General features: G+C 47.9%; 1 protein-coding gene and 1 long non-coding RNA gene across 6 annotated transcripts in view, besides 6 other annotated features; one reads left to right on the top strand and one right to left on the bottom strand.

Moving 5' to 3' along the window:
- Nucleotides 5,720-6,122: a transcriptional cis regulatory region, noted in NCBI's record as "candidate enhancer chr14.2067 targeted for multiplex CRISPR interference". NCBI's record gives its function as "positively regulates GLRX5 gene expression in K562 cells {active_cell/tissue: K562}" and the evidence as "EXISTENCE:mutant phenotype evidence [ECO:0000015][PMID:30612741]".
- Nucleotides 6,145-6,439: an enhancer, noted in NCBI's record as "tiled region #6741; K562 Activating non-DNase unmatched - State 5:Enh". NCBI's record gives its function as "activates a minimal TATA promoter and a strong SV40 promoter by Sharpr-MPRA in K562 cells {active_cell/tissue: K562}" and the evidence as "EXISTENCE:reporter gene assay evidence [ECO:0000049][PMID:27701403]".
- Nucleotides 11,752-11,901: an enhancer, noted in NCBI's record as "active region_8963". NCBI's record gives its function as "activates an Ori minimal core promoter by ATAC-STARR-seq in GM12878 lymphoblastoid cells {active_cell/tissue: GM12878}" and the evidence as "EXISTENCE:reporter gene assay evidence [ECO:0000049][PMID:35858748]".
- Nucleotides 12,320-14,111, bottom strand: SYNE3-AS1 (SYNE3 antisense RNA 1). The gene is made up of 2 exons (NR_188030.1): nucleotides 14,011-14,111; nucleotides 12,320-13,227 (listed from the first exon to the last, which is right to left on the bottom strand). It is a non-coding gene; the product is annotated as an SYNE3 antisense RNA 1 (long non-coding RNA).
- Nucleotides 13,326-14,135: a silencer, noted in NCBI's record as "silent region_6047". NCBI's record gives its function as "represses an Ori minimal core promoter by ATAC-STARR-seq in GM12878 lymphoblastoid cells {active_cell/tissue: GM12878}" and the evidence as "EXISTENCE:reporter gene assay evidence [ECO:0000049][PMID:35858748]".
- Nucleotides 13,326-14,179: a biological region, named in NCBI's record as "Sharpr-MPRA regulatory region 11978".
- The window catches only part of SYNE3 (spectrin repeat containing nuclear envelope family member 3), a 109,385-nt gene continuing 102,320 nt past the window's right edge, over nucleotides 13,581-20,645 (top strand). For all 5 annotated transcript variants that reach the window (NM_001363692.2, NM_152592.6, NM_001384281.1 and 2 more), the window contains exon 1: nucleotides 13,581-13,635. The gene's annotated coding sequence lies outside the window, so the exon portion shown is untranslated. The remainder of the gene's footprint in view (nucleotides 13,636-20,645) is intronic.
- Nucleotides 13,885-14,179: a silencer, noted in NCBI's record as "tiled region #11978; HepG2 Repressive DNase unmatched - State 1:Tss, and K562 Repressive DNase matched - State 4:PromP". NCBI's record gives its function as "represses a minimal TATA promoter and a strong SV40 promoter by Sharpr-MPRA in HepG2 and K562 cells {active_cell/tissue: HepG2 | K562}" and the evidence as "EXISTENCE:reporter gene assay evidence [ECO:0000049][PMID:27701403]".

Genomic DNA, 20,645 nt, shown 5'->3' with positions numbered 1-20,645 from the left:
GAATTCATTCGAAGCATACATTAACCCTAGGATAACAGTTCTCAGACATTTTGGTCTCCAAATTATGTTTTTTTCTAATATAATATGTTGATAGACATTAGCACTTGTGTCTCTAAGTTTTGTTGCCTTCACATGCAATTTCTGTTTTCCTGCTGATTCATAGCATCACCAACAAGTCCTGTAGAAAATCAACTATCCCAGTTATCTTTGCTGGCTCTGCATATATACTAGATACACAGATGATTTTTGGGCTTTGTAAATTAAAATGACAAAAGTTCAATCCAGAGATCTAATAGCTGGACGTGGTGGCTCACATCTGTAATCCCAGCACTTTGGAAGGCCAAGGCGGGCAGATCACCTAAGGTCAGGAGTTCAAGACCAGCCTGGCCAACATGGCGAAACCCCATCTCTACTAAAAATACAAAAAATTAGCCGGACGTGGTAGCGGGCACCTGTAATCCCAGCTGCTTGGAGACTGAGGCAGGAGAATTGCTGTAACCCAGGAGGCGGAGGTTGCAGTGAGCTGAGATCTCGCCACTTCACTGCATACTCCAGCCTGGGCAACAGAGCGAGACTCCAACTCAAAAAAACAGACAAACACACAGAAAACCAAAAATCTAATAAAAAAAAATCTAAGCCTATAGCCTGCTGTTTCTGAAAGCTATGTTCCTCTTGTCCCCACGCTGCTTTCTCGCATTGAGGGCCAAGCTCCTCGGCTGCGTGCCTTGAAAGTCATACACCTGTTGGATTTCATTCTGTTGCAAGCCTTATTTAATAACAAGGACATGGGCCTGAATCATATCTCCCGGAAAGTGGTATTGAGAATTAAGTGGTAATCGTAAAACTTGTTAAGCCTTTTGGTTAAAGGTGATGAAAGAATTGTTTATTTTCCCCAACTGCCTGTTTAATGGCAGTGTTTTGTAGTATTATGTGTTTCTTTTTTTTTTAACCAGCAGATAGTTTCTATAACTCAAATTATTACATTCCAGAGACCTGAAAAGGTCCCTAGATCGCAGAATAGAAAGAGTAAGGAGGCAGTGCTGTTGTGTATCCAACCTGTTAGGAAGATTTATCTGTTAGCAGAAGTTTATGTCTCCCTCTGATAGTCACTGAGTTTGCAGCCAGAAGAACATTTAGGAAATTTAATTGTTTTCTTTTGAATAATTGCTAAGATGTATTGCCAAGGCCATAAATACACTTTATCATGAGTCAGAATTTCACTTTGTACTTCAGTCTTTGAGCTTTAATAATTTCATGCCTTCAAAATGCAGTCTTGCTATTGTGGGAACCCATTGCTCCAGCCTTCTTCAATCGTTCATCTAGGCCTGGCGCAGTGGCTCATGCCTGTAATCCCAGCACTTTGGGAGACCGAGGCGGGTGGATCACCTGAGGTCAGGAGTTCGAGACCAGCCTGGCCAACATGGTGAAACCCCGGCTCTACTAAAAATGCAAAATTAGGCGAGCATGGTGGTGGGTGCCTGTAGTCCTAGCTACTTGGGAGGCTGAGGCAGGAAAATTGCTTGAGCCCAGGAGGTGGAGGTTGCAGTGAGTCAAGATCGCACCACTGCACTCCAGCCTGGGCGACAGAGCAAGACTCTGTCTCAGAAATAAACAAATAAATAGAAAACAGTTCATCTAGCAAAAAAGAAATTCACCCCAGTTTAATTGCAGGGAGGGGAGGGATGATTCAAGTTAGAAATGGGATGAGGCATTAATTATTCATTTTCCTTTGCTGGCAAAAAAAAATGGAGGATTTTAAATTTTTTTGTTCTCCTTTTACAGCCAGAAAAATCCTATTTGCTAATTCTAAACTTAATATTTTTTGAAAGGGTATCCTAGTGAGATATTGTTCATTGATATCAAATTTTAGTGAGCCACAGTTTCAAAGAGTTTTAATAAAAGACTATCAAAAGACTGGGTGTGGTGGCTCATGCCTGTAATCCCAGCACTTTGGGAGGCCGAGGCAGATGGATCACCTGAGGTCAGGAATTTGAGACCAGCCTGGCCAACATGGTGAAACCCCATCTCTACTAAAAATACAAAAAATTAGCCGGGCGTGGTGGCGGGTGCCTGTAATCCAAGCTACTGAGGAGGCTGAGGCCGGAGAATCACTTGAACCCAGGAGGCAGAGGTTGCAGTGAGCCAAGATCACGCCATTGCACTCCAGCCTGGGCAACAAGAGCAAAAGTTCATCTTAAAAAAAAAAAAAAAGACTATCATAAAACAATTACATTTTGTTTAAAAAAAAAGGAGTTTTTTTTGCATAAGCTTTATTACATAGGCAAAATTGGGTGACTTGAGGAGAAGCTGTTATATTGGCAAACCTTCTTCCCTCTCCAGATAGACGGTGATCTGGCATTTTCATATCATAGCTGTATGAGTGCAGCCTTGAGGGGACATGCCAGTCTAGTCGATGTGAAATCAATGGGATATTCCCGTTGGTTCATCTCTTCATACCATGCAGCCACAGATCCGTGATAATCCACACATACTATTGGCTGTCTAATTACAGAGCAAATAATATCCTCTTACTTGAAGGAATTTTTACTTGTGTTCAGAAAAATAACACATCTTTCAAAGTCATTCTGGTTTTGAGAAATACATTTTATAATAGAATGAGTCTCTGTCTTTCCTGGCAAGGCAGGTAGGGGGCACTAGTCTATTTTACTGAGGAAGCTGGGGCAAGAGCCAATAAGGGCTGCCCCTGTAATTATACATTCTCTGGGAATTAATCATTTTGCTCAATTCTAGGAAAAGTCTCTCAGTTCTTACCCAAGTGCTATTCTTATTTTAGGGAATAGCTAACTTACTTAGTTTTCTAATATAACCACAACAGATCAGAAGCAGTAAATTTTAAAAGGCTAACACTAAAAGCAGAAAGAAACAATGACTGAACAGTAAGTGAAAGGTGAAGCACTAAGAGGCAGACATTCTGGGATTCTTCTTAAAAAGCAGCATTCTGGGGCATTCGATGTAAGGAGGGGCGAACAGTCTTCACCCGTGACTGTTCCTTGTGCACTAGTGCCTTGTATTATGCTTCCGAGCAAGAAAAAGAAATTCTTTTCCCCATGCTCTGAATAGGAAGTCAAGGAAACATGCAGTTTATTTTAGCTTGCCAACAAAAACTACACACACACACACACACACACAGCTTAAGGTTATGTTAAAAAAAGGAATACTTTACTCCATTGTGCCAGATAAAGTTATTCTAACTCTGTTACATACTTCATGTTAGTACTTGGAAGACACCTTGGAAATACCTAGTACATTTCATCAGGTGTTGAGGGACTGAATAATACTGGTGTAAAGTTGAATTTTTCTAACTGTGTAAACCAGTGGGCTTGATAAGAGAGCTCAGCCGACGTTACGTCAGAAAGGGCCGTCCATAAAGTGGTTCTGCAAATGCTGATGTCAACCCAGGACACACAATTAGAGGCCTCAAAGAATATAACCACCTCACTTGTGCTACTACCCAGCCCTGTTTCACAGTGGTTGGGGATCAGAACCTCTTCAGGGAGTGTATGCATTGTAATTGTATCTGTTTATTCCTCCCCCCACCCCCACCACGCACACACTAGGCCATCAACTTCTAGTTGGGTAGGATTCATTTTTGTAACCTGGTGCCCTAGTGCCATCCCTGGCACTTACTATATGTTCAATAGATAATTCTTGAATAAAGAATACATAACCTGGTGAACAATACAGAGCAGGATCTCAGCAAATCCCAAATTGTGTGAAACTCATAATATCGAGCACAGGTGCCATAGGAGGTGGAGAAACATTCAGTGAGGCACCCACAGGCTCTGCGCTAAGCAGGATACAGAGTGGAGTAAGAGGCTGCCAAATCCCAAGGACCTCGCAGTCCTGTGATGGGGACAGATGCAAGAATGCCCCCGAGAACTGGAGAAGGGAATGGAGCTCTCGGAAAAAGCTCAGTCAGCGCCTAAGGGATAGGAAAAGCTTAGTAGGGGGTGACACTTGAACTGAGTTTTGAGAGAAGGGTAAAGTGCTTCTATATAAAAAGGAGGGACATTCCAGGAAGAGGGAGCAACCAGGGCAAAGGCACAGAGGCCCCTGGGTCCACTGGGAGAATGCCAGGCCGTTTCTTGAGAAATGCAGGACTGGACATAGCTGAGGGGAGGACAGATGGTAAGGGACTGGGCTCTCCTCCTCTGGATGAGGGAGAGTCCCAGGAGGAGTGTAAGCTGCAGAGTGCTTGAGAGATCACCCTTGCGGGAGTGTTGATGGATTGGAGGTGGCCGAGCTAACGGGGCCACTTAGGAGAGGGTCATCAGATTTAACCTTTGCAGGTATTGGGGTGGGGGCATGGGGGAAGGGCACTGCTGCAAGCTGAGTTCTTTGAAGGTAGGGATGACAGCATTTGGTGACTGGCTGACTGTGGGGAGGGGGCTGGGAGGAAGAGGGGAAGATTCAGGCTTATTCCTAGGGTTTTGCTTAGCCACTGACTGCACTTGATGATGCAGGGAATACAGCGGGAGGGGGAAGGAGGATTGGAAAGGTAAGTTCAGGAATTACTTTTGGACATTTCTGTTTCCAGGTGCCTGAGGAACATCTAAATCATCAGGTTATGTCTGAAATAAAGGGAGAGAGTATGCAGATTATTGCCTCTACGGGTCTGGATCTATTGATAAAGGAGATTTGGGCGGGTGGGGGGGCAAGAAGGAGTGCAGAGAAGAAAACCTGGGGAACGCATATCGCTGGGGAGGGACAGGCCATGAGGAGAACTAGGAGCAAGTGCTTTAGGGAAGAGGAATTTACCAGAAGCCACAGAGGGCCTGAGCATGAGGGCTCACACCTGTAGTCCCAGAGCTTTGGGAGGCCGAGGCAGGAGGATTGCTTGAGGCCACATGCTCTAGACTAGTCTGGGCAACATAGTGAGGCCCCATCTCTAGAAAAAGTTTTAAGTTAGTTGGGAGCAGTGGTGTGTGCCTATAGTCCTAGCTACTTGGGAGGCTGAGGTGGAAAGATAACTTTAGCCAAGGAGTTCTAGCCTGCAGTGAACTATGATAGTACCACTGCACTCCAGCCTGGGCAACAGAGCAAGGCTGTCTCTTAAAAAAAAAAAGGAAGCCACAGAGAGAGGCCAGGTAAGGACCCAGGGTCTCGTGGATTTTGCAATGGAGGTAAACACAGTGTGGGCTGATGCAATCAGTGTTTGCTGCCCTTGGGCGCTTCGCTTCACCTCTAAGGGGCTCTGCAACGTGATAGAGTTGGGCCAGTGAATTTGTCAGGTGTCTTCTGGCTGTTACTTTTGTCTGTGTGTGAACCTTTGTTTTAGGCCATTTCTGTAGTTAGTGAACAGAGCAGATAGAGTCCAGTCATTTTGCAGAAATGTTTCCATTTGGATGATGAAACAAGCTTGATTGCTGAAGCTGGTGCACTCATCCCATTGGCATGGTGCTAGCCGAGACCTTTGAAATACCTGAGGACACCTCTTGCCTGTTTATAGAGGTTGCTTCTGTCTGCTGAATAGGGCTTTGTAATTAACCAGGAGGTGCATTTAGCGACACTGGCCATTTTTCTCTGCATACCAAGTCTACAACATCAAAGAAGAAATTTAGGATGAAAGTTCTTTAAAATCTTAGGCCAGGTGCTGCAGCTATTGCCATTGCAAGGACCTGCGGCAGTCCTGTTGGAAAATGTTTGTTCTGCATGTGTTCCATGCCAGTTGTTGGCAATAAGATTCTAAGGTTTTGGAACTAGACTACTGCAATGAAACAACTTTCTCTGTTAGGGAAGTGTCCTGGGCTGTCAAGAATTATCATCAAGAGCAGCAGGTTTTATAAGATACATGGACCTATTTGGCATTTACCAGCCCATGCCGCTAGGATAGAGGGACAGGGCTGGGCCCCAAGTGTGGGCTTCCCGGAAGAGCCAAGCACCGGCTGCTCATATGGGATGGGTGGGGGTGGTGCAGGTGCCCTGCATGGGTTCCACTGCCCTAAAGAGGGTACAAAGGCCACACCTCCGTGTGTCTGCCAGGGCTGGGTTCAGAGCCTCCCTGGCTTCCTGGGCACTCTGCCTATCACACAGCGATTCCAATATGATCACATGTTCAGAACAGCCACACTTGTCAAAGCAAGGAGAGAACACTTCAGCAACGTTCAAAAACATGTCTCCAGGGATTAAAAAAAAAACACGGAAAGCTTCATTTTCCTCCCTAGTGGGGAAGTCTTCCTTACTCACAGCCTCTTCCTGAGTTGGTGTCTGTCGTGAAGCATTCTTTGGAAGCATAGTAAGCGGAGGGTTTAATTTACCATAGTCGTACACATTTGCACAGAATCTAAAGTTTGCAGTGCGTTTCATCATCTTTATGTGAATCTCATGCAGCTCTTACAGGGAAAACAGGAAGAACTGGCCCCATTTTCTAAATGTGGAGACAGGAGGAGGTGAGATGGCTCGCCTCTGCCCAGCCGACTGGGAAATGCAGAGCTCAGAGAGACAGCAAGTCAGGAGATGTTGATCCAGGGAGCTTTTCACTCTGCCACCCACCCCATCGATGGAAGCACCGACATTATCAAGGCTGCATTTAGATTTCAAAACAAAAGCAAGCAAACATGCCGGGCTCGTGGTATGCTGTTGTTTTAACCGAAATGATACAGCTGAAAGGGTGAGCAGCCATCAGTGCTGTGAGCGAAGCGTGATCACACATCTTGTATGTTTAGCAACTCAGGAGGTAGCTGAGCCTGGAAGTGACTTTCCTGGTATGTAGCAATTCAGAGAATACAAAACCACATTCATTATCTGAAATGGGCTCAGCTGCTTCTGTGTTTTATCATATAGAGCTGGGAACTTTGATGTGTGTGGTGTGTGCGTGTTTTGCTGCATATACAGATAATCACACAACTGGAGGCTTCAGCCTTGCTGTTTACACACACACACACACACACACCCCAGCAGATACATCACACACAGACTTCTCACCTGTTACGTTACTAACAGTGGTGCTGGTTTGTTTGAACAGTGTTTGAACTTATCAATAACCTTCCTCCAGAAGGCTCAGCATAGCTATAGCATATGCTGTGTGTGGAAAATATAACCTAAGAAACAGAATGGAATTGAATCATGACCACTATTGCTATGAGACAGAATCCACAGCGATGGAGTGGGTGCTGGGGTCAGACTGCCTGAGTGTGTACCCTAGGTGAGTCACATAATAGCTGGGTGAATGGCCAAGTTTTCACCTTTTTTCCCTCATTTGGAAAATGGGATGATAATAGGAGCTATCCTGAAGGGTGATGATGAGGGTTAAATTAACAATATAGGTAAAGGCTTAGAACAGTGTGTGGCAGATGGTAGGTAAGCCCTTAATAAATATAAAATATCATTATTTGTGTCCATCATTTGAGATATATCTCACATCTTATCCAGAGGACTCCCCAAACACTCGTGTTGTCACTTCTCTTTCCTGTCTCTGGGTTCCTCTACAAGTCAGTTTTGTACCATGCAGTCTCGCATTTGATGACATGCAGCATTACTTAGTTCTGTGAATGATTCGTGTGTCTTAATGTCACTTCCCCAACAGACTGTAAATTTCTTGATGGCAAGAACCATGTAACTGGTTTTTGTTAGATTTCTGCAACTCAAGACCCAATCCTGGGCAACTGTTGGACACTTAAACATCCTTCATCACTAGCTGCGTTCATCACTAGGAAAAAGTAAGAGAAATCTGATGGTATGGGATTGTAAGTGGGTATTAGATCCAACAGCTGAAACTTAAGATGTGAAGATGTATATTGACACACATGTGCGTACAAAATGTTTATAGCAGCTTTATTGATAATAGCCAAAAACCAGGAACAACCCGGATGTCCTTCAACAAGGGAAGGGTGACCCAGCCCGTGATGCATCCGTCACACTGTGGATTGCTGCTCAGCAACGAGGAGGCACAGACTCGATACGGGAGCCAGCCTGGGTGACGCTCCAGAGAACTACCCTGAGTGGAGAAGGGCAGTCCCACCGTGTGATTCCATTATTATCACATTCTTGAAATGACAGAATTATAGAAAGGAGAACAGAGGAGTGGCTGCCAGAGTTTAAGGAGGGAATGGGGAAAGGGGGAAGAGCAGCATGCGGGATCCTTGTGACGGAAGCGTTTTGTGTCGTGTGGGTGTCTGTCAGTTTCCTAGCTGTGATACTGTACCATTGTCTTGTAAGATGCTGCCATCGGTGGAAACTGGGTAAAGCATATAGGGGACCTCTCTGTATGATTTCTTACAACTGCATGTGAATTTACAGTGGTCTCAAAATAAAGCATTTAATTAAACAAAAAACCCACATGCATTTAAAGTAGTCCCAACAGAAGCAGAAAGAATAGACCAGGCTTCCCACTGTTGGGAGAAACGAGAAACATGGCAGACCTCTTCCAGAAGAATTTTGTATATTTTCTTTGTTTTCTGTTTTTGTTTTTTCTTTTCTTTTCTTTTTTTTTTTTGAGATGGAGTCTCACTTTGTCACCCAGGCTGGAGTGCCGTGGCCTGATCTCAGCTTACTGCAACCTCTGCCTCCTGGGTGCAAGCAATTCGTCTACCTCAGCCTCCTGAGTAGCTGGGATTACAGGCACCCACCACCATGCCCGACTAATTTTTTTTTGTATTTTTAGTAGAGATGGGGTTTCACCATGTTGGCCAGTCTGGTCTTGAACTCCTGACCTCAGGTGATCAACCCTCCTCGGCCTCCCAAAGTGCTGGGATTACAGGCATGAGCCACCGCACCCAGCCAGATTTTATTTTTTAGGAATAAAATTTATCAATTTTCCTTTAACACTTTTGTTTATCTTAGTATTTATTCCTTGGAGTATAATAGTAGTGGTGTTTAGTTATGTTAAATGATGATTGTTTAATACAAACAAGATCTTCTTTTTTCAAAAAGATATATAATGGAGAGAGAGAGAGACAGGGTCTCACTCTGTCACCCAGGCTGGAATGTAGTGGTGCAATCATGGCTCACTGCAGCCTTGACCTCCCAGGCCTAGGCAATCCTCCTGCCTCAGCTCCAAGTAGCTGAAACCAGGCATGCACCACCCTGCCTGGATAATTTTATTTATTTATCTGTAGAGACGGGGTCTCACCATGTTGCCCAGACTTGTCTTGAACTCCTGGGCTCAAGCGACCCTCCCACGCTGGCCTCCCAAAGTGCTGGGATTACAGGAGTGAGCCACTGTACCTGGCCAGCCAATACAATATATATATGTATGCGTGTGTGTGTATATATATATATATATATATATATATATATATACACACATACACACAATATATCATAATGTATTATGTATATTACATTACATATATTACATTGTATATAATACTGTGTGTGTGTATATATATATTTCTTATAGTTACTTAAATTGGGGGAATAATTTAGAGAAAATCTTTTTTAATTCTCTCATTTCACAGATTCAAAAACTTAGAAGTGACCCAAGGTTACACAGCTAGTTAGCAGCCTTAACAAGAGTTAGAACCCCATCATCCGAGAATCCAGTCCTGTATGTTATATATAATTGTATTTTATAAATGCAGTACAATTAAATGTATGTAGAGGAATATTCCAAGTTACTCCAGTTCCCCTGCTTGGTACTGAGATGACTCATTGCCACCCAGAGGGGTACCTCTGCTCAGTTGATGGGTGGCAGCTGCCCATGAGGAAGTGAACAAACCAGGGTGCTGGCTGTGCTCACCCTAGAAGCACATGTAGCACCCAAGTGGGAAAGGACAGGCTAACACTTGGAGAACCGGCAAGGAAAAAACAAAGAAGAAGGAAAAGTTCAGAGCAGAACTGGGTTGAGAACGAGCTCTCCAGGCTCAGACCAAGACCTCTCTGATGGGGCACCCCAGAAGTGGGCACCCTTAATGTGAGCTTTTCATCCGTATTAAGCTGAAAGCACTTATGTACTTCACCACTAAGTGGGAAGCCAGGCTAGAGATGGAGAGATGGGAATGTAAATGTTCTGAACAGCAATTCCTATCCTGGAACCCTGGGCAATGCCCCTCGTCCCTACTCTCTTGCCTCAGTTTACCCATGAGGTGTTTTATTAGCCAGAAAAGCCATTGCAGCTTTTGTTGTAATCTATCTGTGGAGACTGAACACACACACACAAACAACTGAAAAAATCATGCTTACAAAATGAGGATTGTGCAGATTGCCACTGAAGCTGGCTAACCAACAGCAAATGTGAAACAGACCCAGATAATTTCCCCAGGCTTATTAAATTGATTCCTGCTTCCCCATGAGTGGTGGTGGAGATGCTGGCTGCAGGGAAGGGACAGAGGGAAAGAGTGGTAAAAACTTCGCTTTTTGGAGGACATTTGGTACGTTGCACAAACAGCCCGCGCTGCCAAGTGAGTCAGAACTTCCGAACAGCATAATTTTAGTGCCCTTCTTGTGGTTCCCTCTCTGGGCTGCTTCTGAAAGGAAGGTCTCAGGGCGGGGTTTCCTGTGTTCAATTCCAGAGATGACAAAGGGGCTCTTCCCCCAATCCTTTGCCAGATTTTTTTTTCCAGATGGGTTTTCATGTCCACCCCCTTATGTAGCTGCAGGTAATGCTGAAGACGAAGGTATTGTGGACTTCCTAGTTGTAAACTGCCCCATCCCTTCGCATTGCTTACTCAACTTTTGTTTTCCTTCCATGTGGACTACTTTGGAGAGAAAAAGATTGGCATCAAATAAAAAATAGGGTTCTGTTTTTGATGTGATGTTTATGTCAGGCTTAAGAAAAGTAATGGATGGCCGGGCATGGTGGCTCACACCTGTAATTCCAGCACTTTGGGAGGCCAAGCAGGCAGATATCTTGAGGTCAGGAGTTCGAGACCAGCCTGGCCAACATGGTGAAATGCTGTCGCTACTAAAAATACAAAAAATTAGCTGGGTGTGGTGGTGTGTGCCTGTAGACCCAGCTATTCAAGTGGCCGAGGCACAAGAGTTGCTTGAATCTGAGAGGAGGTTGCAGTGAGTCAAGATTGCACCACTGCACTCCAACCTGGGTGACAGAGCGAGACTCTAAGAAAAGCAATGGAATGGGAGAGTATTCTGAAAAGCAGCAAGCCCTGTAAAGCCCAAGATAATAACAATCACATTGATAATAACAAAACTATCTGCACAGTATTTTGTACTTTATAAAATATGTTTATCACATGTGTTTTCACCTATGAAAAATTATTGCTATCCCCATCTAACAGATGAGAAAAACCAATGTTGTAAGAGGTCACATTCAGTGTAAGATTAGACTGTATGTGCACACTGTATGTGTAACAGAATCTTACAGTGTAAGATTCACTCAGCTAAATAAGTAGCAAAGCTGGGCCTGGAAAGTGAATATCTCCACTGCTCTGAACTGGTGCTCTGCACTGCACCGGCAGCAGGAGGGACAGTTCATCTCTGTGCACCATGGTCCCCTGACACAGAATTATTACACCCTGACCTCCTTGGAGGTAGTAGTCTATGCCTCATTCTTCTTCATATTCCCAGAGACTAGCACATAGTAGATACTCAGGAATGTTTGACGAAAGACTGAATAGCTGTATGGCAGAAACTGTAGCAATCATACCATTCCCAGAACCATAACATAACAGCTCGCCTGAGTTGGGTGCTCAAATACCAGGCACAAAACCATACAAGATAAGCTCCTATTATTAGATCTATTCAACAGAAAAGGAAACCAAGTATGAGTAATCAGCTGAAAGTTGCAAATTGGGCACTTTGGCACTAGAGCCTGAGCTCCTAACTGTACCCAACCATCTCTTCCTGCAGGACATTGAGTTACAGTGGCCAGCTCCACCCTTGGAGCAGCCTGGGGGAGCCATCTCTCTCCTTGTGCAAGTCACCTGCCCTCTTTGTGTCTTGGTTTCCCTTGTCAGGCAAAACTCATTAAACTTTTCCTAACTACCTGGAGGATGTTTGCAGAGATTTAATGAGGAGACACATTTGAAAGCATTCTGAAAAGCAAAAAGCGCGATCCAGATGCAGGCATTATAATCATTGTTACTCGCTGCCTGCACCTGCAGTTTGACTGTGGCAACCTCAAGGCCTTCGGCAGCACTTCTAATTGAGCCACAGTGATAATAACACATATAATAGCATACTTGGAACCAGTCAGTCGCAGGGAGATGGGAGGGGCCCTGTGTATATCTTCAGCAACGCTGTGAATAATTACAGCTTAATAAATGGGATCTAACTAAGAGGTGTGGGTCTACCTCAGAGTGAATCCTGGGTTTTGGCTAATTCTTCTACCTCCCTCTCAATTTGGAAAAGACATACACACACACACACACACACACACACACACACACACACCGTTAACTATCTTGTCCTGCTTTACAATTTAATCTCTTAGGATACTGACTTTTACACGGATCTGTTCTACAAACATCTGCCATCCCTGCTAAGAAACAAAAAAGGAAAACAGCATCCCGGAAGCCCTGGATTTGGGCCAGTTACTAACCCCGCATCTGTAAAATCGCTAGCCGCACCTAAACTGTGATGACTGGAGTTCACATAAAACCTAGTTTTACAACTTGTATCCTTCATTAGTAGCGCTCATCTGATCCAGAGGCGGTGAAGCCAATCATGCAACCATGTAATTACTCGGAAAAAGATAAGGGTTGGGGCCCAGGACTGTTCAAAGCTGGGCTGGATGCACAGGAAGGCCAGTGACTGCTGACCTGGGAGGAGAGCGCCAGGGTGCGAAGGCTTCCAGCCATCAAGCAGTAGGAGTTTGGCAGAAGGCTGTGGAGCAAACGCCGGGCCAAGGCAACTTCATGTGCACAGGCACAGAGGCAGATACAGTTTAGACATTCTGGGACAAGGTTAAAGGGTTGGCGTGGCTGGAGCAGGGGTTGGGAGAGTGGGAGGATGTTTCTGCTGGTGGGGAGGGAGAGGTGAGGCGCATTCTGAGGCCTTGGGTTTGTTGGGGGTTCACATTATGCCTGGGGATTCACATCCCTTGTGACTCCTGGACTGTGGGCCCGGACTGTGGGGGTGGGAGAGGACGGGCAGGGTGCCACTACCCCCCACCCCGCCCTTTCTCCCCGCGCGAGGCTGGCTGATGAGTGTCATTTTCTTCTTGGATTTCGCGCCTACGGGCGGTGTGCCCCTTCCAAGGCCCCCACCTCCGCTCTGTGAGGGCAAGATCTGCCGGTGTCCTAATCCCTTTTCCATGTCTGGGCGCACAGATCCAACTTTCCCGGAGAGGCAGCTCCGCGCCATCCCCTAGGATGAGAAGAGGGTGGGTGGCTGTGTGTGTGTCGGGGAGACAGACAGGGGCCAGGGCTCCGGGCTGCTTTCCAGGCAAGCGTGGACAGGACCCCCCCCTTAACCCCCGCCCCGGGTCCGCGACAGGGAGCGGTGAGGCTTTTCTTCGGCCCTGGTCCCCGGGGCCACGCAGGATGTCCGCCGGGCTGGGGTTGCGCACCCGGGGCCTCCGCTGAGCGCGTGCGGAGAGGGGCGCGGCCTCTCCCGCGGGGCCACCGGGCGGGTCCCGGCGGGGGCGGGGGTACTCGCGGTGTCCGGGCCCGCCCCAGCCCTGCCCCGCCCCGGAGCCGCCCGGGACGCAGGGAGGAGGGAAGGAGGCTCGGCCCCAGCTACCCGCGGCGCCGCGCTCCTCCACGCTCCGGGAGGGTAAGTGGCACGGGGCCGGGAGGCCAGGCCTGGGGCCGGGGGCCGGGGGCCGGGGGCCGGGCGGGTGGGGTCCTCAGCCCCTGGCCCAGCTCTGACACAGCCCCGGGAATCGGGGGCGCCGAAAGTCTGGGGGACCTGGGGAGGCGCGCCCGGCGCGGGGGCGGGGGCCCCGGCGTGACAGCTGCGGGCGGGCGGGTATTTTTAGTTTAAATCCAACCGTTCTGTGCTGGCTGCGAAATTCCCGAGCCTTTCCTTTCAACCCCGGGGAGCTTCGGCCGGCCCACAAGAAAAAGCCCTAAAGCCCCGGGCAGCGCGCCCCAGCGGGCCGGGTGCCTCCTCGGGGCTTCCCTCTGCCTCCCCTAGGGGCGGGCTGACCTGTCACCAAGGCTTGCGCGCGGCGGGGGCCCAATCCGCTCCTGGCGACCGCGAGCGCGCTCAGTAGTGCCTGGGAGAGCAGAGCAGGCGGCGAAGAGGGGAAGTCCAACCCCGAATGCTCAGTTTCGTTCAGACGCCTTTTGGCTATGCAAACTTGGCAAGCAGCTCAACCTCTCTGAGCCTCATTCCCACATTTCTAAAGGGGAGGGCAGTGAGGCCAGAGATGGCTTGCAGGGCCTGAGAGAGCCTCAGATGGATGTTGACTTCCCCTGGGGTCTTGGGATCTTGACCCCAAACAGCAGACCCATTGATGTGGCCCATTGGTCAACCCGGGAGCAGTGTCCTACACCGCCCAGCTGACCTCTGCTTCAAAACTGGAAGCCAGGGGCCTCCAGCCTGGGCGGGGTGATAATGAATATTTTCAGTTAACCACTTTGGCCCTGAAGCTCCAACCCTGGGCTTTCCTGGGACTCTCCCAGGTTCCTGGTCACCCCTTTCAACTCTGAAGGGTCACCCTTATCCCTGCACTGGGTGGGGGGGCTTTCTACAGCCAAGGGCTGCTAGTGGGATAGCTTGATGTGTCTTGGGGGCATGCCCCATCCCACATGAATGAGGGCATGAGGAGAATGGACCGTCCTCCCAGAAAGGAGAGCATGTCATAAAATCACTGCCATTCTGAGCTTGGCAGGACAGCGTCCTTCATCCACCAAGAGAAGCAGAAACAGGCCCAGAGAGGGGGAGTGATTTGCCCAGAGCCACACTGCCTGGCTCTCTTGAAGGGCCTGGGCTTGCCGCCTGCACTTCCAGGGCAGCCAACAGCCCATAGGAGTCAGGAGCTGGGAGGTGGGAGGGGCATATCAGTGCCAACGAGCTGTTTTGCTCAGTTTCCTGTCACTGTGCCCCAGCGGGATGCTCCAGCACATGTGGGTCTGCACATTCCTCAGGCCGGACGGTGCTCGGCAGGCTGACAGCCACAGCTGTGCCAAGCCTGCTGGCCCCAGGCGTTGTTTTCAACCAGAGAGGCCCCTCTGGGGGTGGCTGAGCGGGAAGTGGGCTGGGATGTCTTATTTCTGGAACTCGTGTCTTGCTGGGGGTCCTGAGAAGAAGGCCTGAGGATGTGTTGGTGGCACAGAGGGAAGTGGTGAGAATCCAGGCTCAGGTTTCTGCCTCCAGGTACAGTCTGGCACCTGGCTCCCTGCAGGTACACTTCAGAGTGAGTTGGAGTCCTTTCTGTCTGTCTCCATGGGAACAAGGCTCCTGCTCGGGTGCTTTGCATGCTCTCCAGCAGCCATGGACCTGGCCATGCCTGGGCAGCCCCTTTGCCTTGTGATGCAGCCTGGAGCGGGCTGCCGGGGGGCCCTGGCTTGGCGGCCCCGGGAGGCAAGACTGGGCAGGCCCAGCTCAACGTCAAAAGCACCCTGGAGCCTTTGGGAACCCACTGGGCAGCTAGGCTTCCCGCATTGTCCAGCTGTTAGGAATGGGGCAGTCAAGTTGGATTGCCTGAGTCCAGTCCTGCCTTAGCCCGTTCCTGGCTGTGTAGCCTTGGGAAAGTTGCTTCACCTTTCAGAGCTTCAGCGTCCTTCCCCGTGGAAAGGGGCTAACCATAGCACGGCAGGTGTTGCCTCGCAGGGCCTCATGAGCACTAAACGAGCTTTGCCCTGATCAGCATTTTGTATGGTGTCAGACACAGCACATGTGAGAAGGTGTCACAGTTTGAGGCGAAGGGGCCTCGTCGGGATACCTGGGTTCCCCTCTGCTCTGCCTCTGCCCCTCTTCTCCCTGCCTTGATTTCCCCTTGTCTGTCAATGGTGGGTAGTCCTGGCTCACCCCCCTCATGGTCCTCCCAGCACTGAAAGCTGGCCCTTGGCCCCAGGGAGGGCAGGAGGCTCTTGACCCCAAACAGCTGACCCATTGATGTGGCCCATTGGTCAACCCAGGAGCAGTGTCCTACACCGCCTAGCTGACCTCTGCTTCAAAACTGGAAGCCAGGGGACTCCAGCCTGGGCGGGGTGATAATGAATATTTTCAGTTAACCACTTTGGCCCTGAAGCTCCAACCCTGGGCTGCCCTGGGACTCTTTCCCAGGTTCCTGGTCACCCCTTTCAACTCTGAAGGGTTCTAGAGAAGCCTACAGAGGGACTCAAATGTGTTCGTGGGGTCTTCCAAAGCTCTTCCTGCCTCTCACCTCCTAGGATCTGGTAGTAGGCAAGGCTGTCATTGCTTGCCCATTTACAGATGAGAAGGCTGATATCCAGCGGCTGGATGTGGTACAGCCAGGATTAGAACTAAGGGCTTTTGACCTGATGCTCTTCCTGGCACCACATGGCCTATCTTAGACAATCCAAGGACAAAGTTGTACGTTCATCACTGGGAAAACAGTACTGACCGGACAGGATGCTTGTCTTCATTAAGTCATCAGTACTTGCTGGAAAAGAATATGGATTCTGAATATATATATATATATATATATATATATATATATAATCTAAGCAGCCTGACTGGACCACAAAGATAGGAACCCAGGAGCAGCAGTGTTTCCTGACCCTCCCATCCTGAAAGGAACCTTTGCTTTAGGACTTAGGGATGATGTTCTGGGGCTGAGCAGCTAGGAAGCTAGGAAGTGGACGGGGGACAAGTTTGGGAAGCTGATGCCCTAATTTTGACCTCTTGAAATACTTCCCTTTTGGGGTTGCTGCGAAGATAATTGAGGTAACTGGGGATGATGCTTTAGCAGAATGCCCGGCATGGTGCGGGCACACCATAAATAGGACTGATGGTTTTTATTATTACTAACCCTCTACTATCATTGTAACACCAGAGTGCAGCCTGGATCTCTCGCCTGGGTTTCTAGGCTGCAGACGTGGTATAGAGAATCCTAGCATCTCCATGGAGAACTGCTAAGGCAATTATAAAAGCTCAAAACACAACCAAACTAAGCAATGAGTTGTTTAGTGACACATAGCTGAGAAGTAAAATGACGACAAAAAGCAAGAAGGTGATTAGCTTAAATAAAAGCCAAGCATTACCACGCGTGCTGAGGAAAGGTGAGAGAGGATCAGGAGAGTCGGGGGGGCAGTTACAAAGGAGATCACTTTGTAGTTACTGGCTAATTACATGTATGTTTTATACATGCCTTTATACGTAGATTCTATTTCACAAAGTTAAGCTGGTTTAAAAAAGAAAAAGGCAAGGGAATGATAATGCAAAATCAAGGTGATTATCTTTGGGGAGAAGTGGGTAATTGATCAGGGAGATGTCTGTTTCACTCTCAGTGGGATCCATTATGTTCTGTTTCTTCAGTCCAGTGGTAGGCTTGTGAGTGTTATTTTTTATTTATTTTATGTATGTATTTATTTATTTTTTGAGACAGAGTCTTGCTCTGTCACCCAGGCTGGAGTGCAGTGGCCTGATCTCGGATCACTGCAAGCTCCACCTGCCGGGTTTACGCCATTCTCCTGCCTCAGCCTCCCGAGTAGCTGGGACTACAGGCGCCCACCACCACGTCCGGCTAATTTTTTGTATTTTTTTTTTTAGTAGAGACGGGGTTTCATCGTGTTAGCCAGGATGGTCTTGATCTCCTGACCTCGTGATCTGCCCACCTCAGCCTCCCAAAGTGCTAGGATTACAGGCATGAGCCACCGTGCCCAGCCTATTTATTTATTTTTTTGAGACAGAGTCTCACTCTGTTGCCCAGGCTGGAGTGCAGTGGCACAATCTCAGCTCACAGCAACCTCCACCTCCCAGGTTCAAGCCATTGTTCTGCCTCAGCCTCCTGAGTAGCTGGGATTACAGGCATGTGCCACCATGCCTGGCTAAGGGCGTTATTTTTAAATATTTTTATGCTTCATTATTTACAAATAGGAGGCGCATATATTCCATTATATATATATAATCTTACATAATACAAATGAAATTAAAAGATCATGTGGAGCATTTTCAGATGCTTTCTTAGAAAATCTGCCTCTCTCCTCAGATTCCAATGTTAATCTGGCTGGATTTAAAAAATAAAGCAAAAAATTCTGTTGTATGACACATGATTTTATGTGTCATAAATCTTTATGTAGGAGACACGATCTTTAATGTAGGAGACATGATCTCTGTCTTCCCAAATCATACAACAAGTAAGATAATAATAACACTCTATGACCTCAGATGATCAACAGGATTTTTAAAGGTCCTGGCCTAATGATTTATGCTTCTGAATCATAAAATCCTGAAATATTTGAGCTGGAAGGAACCTCAGGTCACCTGGACCAATCTACTGGTTTTATAACAAAACGAAGTGTCCTGGCCGAGGTCACACACGTAGGGAATACACTTCTCTCCAGGCTGCCACAGCTGTGTGACTCTCATGCAGACACCACCCGACAGACAGACCAGTGAGAGTCTTGGGTCACAAGGCTCCTCCTTAGGGCACTCAGGGAGAGAGACGGGAAGTATACCTGAGATTAAACTGATAGGATCATTTTATTTATTTTATTTAATTTATTTATTTATTTATTTTTTGAGAAGGAGTCTTGCTCTGTCTCCCAGGCTGGAGTGCAGTGGTGTGATCTCAGCTCACCGTAACCTCTGCCTCCCGGGTTCAAGCAGTTCTCCTGCCCCAGCCTCCTGAGTAGCTGGGACTACAGTTGCATGCCACCATGCCCAGCTAATTTTATTATTATTATTTTTTTGTATTTTTAGTAGAGACAGGGTTTCACCTTGTTGGCCAGGATGGTCTCAATCTCCTGACCTCGTGATCCACCCACCTCGGTCTCCCAAAATGCTGGGATTACAGGCGTGAGTCACCGCGCCTGGCCCAGGATCATTTTATTTTTAAAAAGTCAGAAGAGAGTTACATTTTACGATGGAACCACACATTTCTAGAACTTACATGAACAGAAACATCCTCAAAGAAAACACAGAAGCAGTGCTTAGAATCTTCTTTCCTACAGGAAGTCCTCTTAGGAAAGAGCTCCTCTCACTCATCCTATTTTTTGCAGGCGTACTTGATTCCCAAAACAATTGAGTGCTGCAGTTATGGTTATTTCCATTTTCCAGTGGGGGAAGCAGGTTCAGAGAGGTTCAGTGCCTTGACCCAAATCACGCAGCAGGTGAAGATGGAGCAGGACTTTCATCCAGAGCGGGAGTGGAAAGGATGAGCCACTTTTGTTTTCAGTGCATTGTGCTATGAGCACATTCTTCACTCCTTAGATGCTGAAATTCCGCAGCCCAGCCCAGCCTGGGCGGGCCATGGGGAAATGCCCTGGTGGAGGACAGTTGGGTGATGGCTTTCCAGCTGTCAGATCACAGAGATGATCTAGAGGCTAAAGCTCTACCTCTGTCTTGCTGCTCTCCTGCAAGGAAGCCCACTGCCTTTGTGGCATGGGCAGTGGTGCATCGGGAGTTGGGAGAATCCATCCCATTTTGGTCCTGCACTTTTTTTTTTTTGAGACGGAGTCTCACTCTGTTGCCCAGGCTGGAGTGCAATGGTGCAATCTCGGCTCACTGCCACCTCCGCCTCCCGGGTTCAAGCAATTCTCCTGCCTCAGCTTCCTGAGTAGCTGGGACTACAGGCACCTGCCACCACGCCCAGCTAGTTTTTGTATTTTTAGTAGAGATGGGGTTTCACCATGCTAGCCAGCTTGGTCTCAACTCCCAACCTCAGGCGATCCACCGGCCTCGGCTAGGATTACAGGCATGAGCCACCAAACCCGACCAAGTGCTGCACATTTTGATTCTTGGCCATCTTCTTCTCTCATCAAAGATATTCTTCCTGCCTTCCCTCTGCAGAAGTGCCTGTCACAGACAACAGGGCTCAAAGAGACCTGTGTTCCAGGACTGCTTGGCTTCAGATGGTGGTTTTCCTAATGCACGGTTGCTGTGTCCCAGTATGGATGCTCCCCTGGGCAGTGGAGACCTGGGCCCAGGTCTCAGCCCTTGCTCTCTACCCTCTGCTCTGTGAATCCATTTCCTGGTCAGTTGCTGCACTGTGAATCCATTTGTTTCCCATCTAACAGGGTTGGTGATACCTCCCCATGGGGCAGGGCTTAGTAAGGACCTAATAAGAGAGAACTTTACATGGGTAAGGCAGCTTTCAGAGACTAGGAAACAAACGCTCATGTACATGCCCAGAGAGATTGTGTGTGGGCGCTGGAGAAGTATTTAGGAGTCACAGCTGCAGTGGAGCCAGCCTGAGCCTCAGAGATGATTTACGCTTATACTTTTACATATGGGGAAACTGAGTCTCCACAGCAGAAATGGCTGGCTCAAGTCTTGCAGGTACTTCAGGGCCAAGATGGTATCTCCTAACTCCCTGACCAGTGCTCTTACCTTACAACCACCTTCCCTAAGAGTTTGTTTCACTGATATTCATGGTGTAACGCAACTCGGGCTGGTTGCTTGATGAAAATGAAATGGCAGGCTTTCAGCGTTCAGCCTGTGTGGTGATCACCAAGGCATGGACAGAACAGGGTGGGCCACCATGGCTGGTTGGATTCTAATTTAAGCCAACAGTTTTATTTGAGATCTGAAAAGGGCTGAGCCCCTCCCAAGTGACATTTGCTGAAATAATGCAGCTGGCTGACGCACTGGGGTAGCCTCGTTCCTTAAGGACGGGAGGAGCCTGCATTTGACCTTCACCTGGGCTAGTC

The sequence above is a fragment of the Homo sapiens genome, chromosome 14, assembly GCF_000001405.40.
Source record: "Homo sapiens chromosome 14, GRCh38.p14 Primary Assembly".
Taxonomy (NCBI): Eukaryota; Metazoa; Chordata; class Mammalia; order Primates; family Hominidae; genus Homo; species Homo sapiens.
The sequence above is the reverse complement of the archived record's forward strand: the minus strand, read 5'-3'. Positions and strand labels throughout refer to the sequence as shown.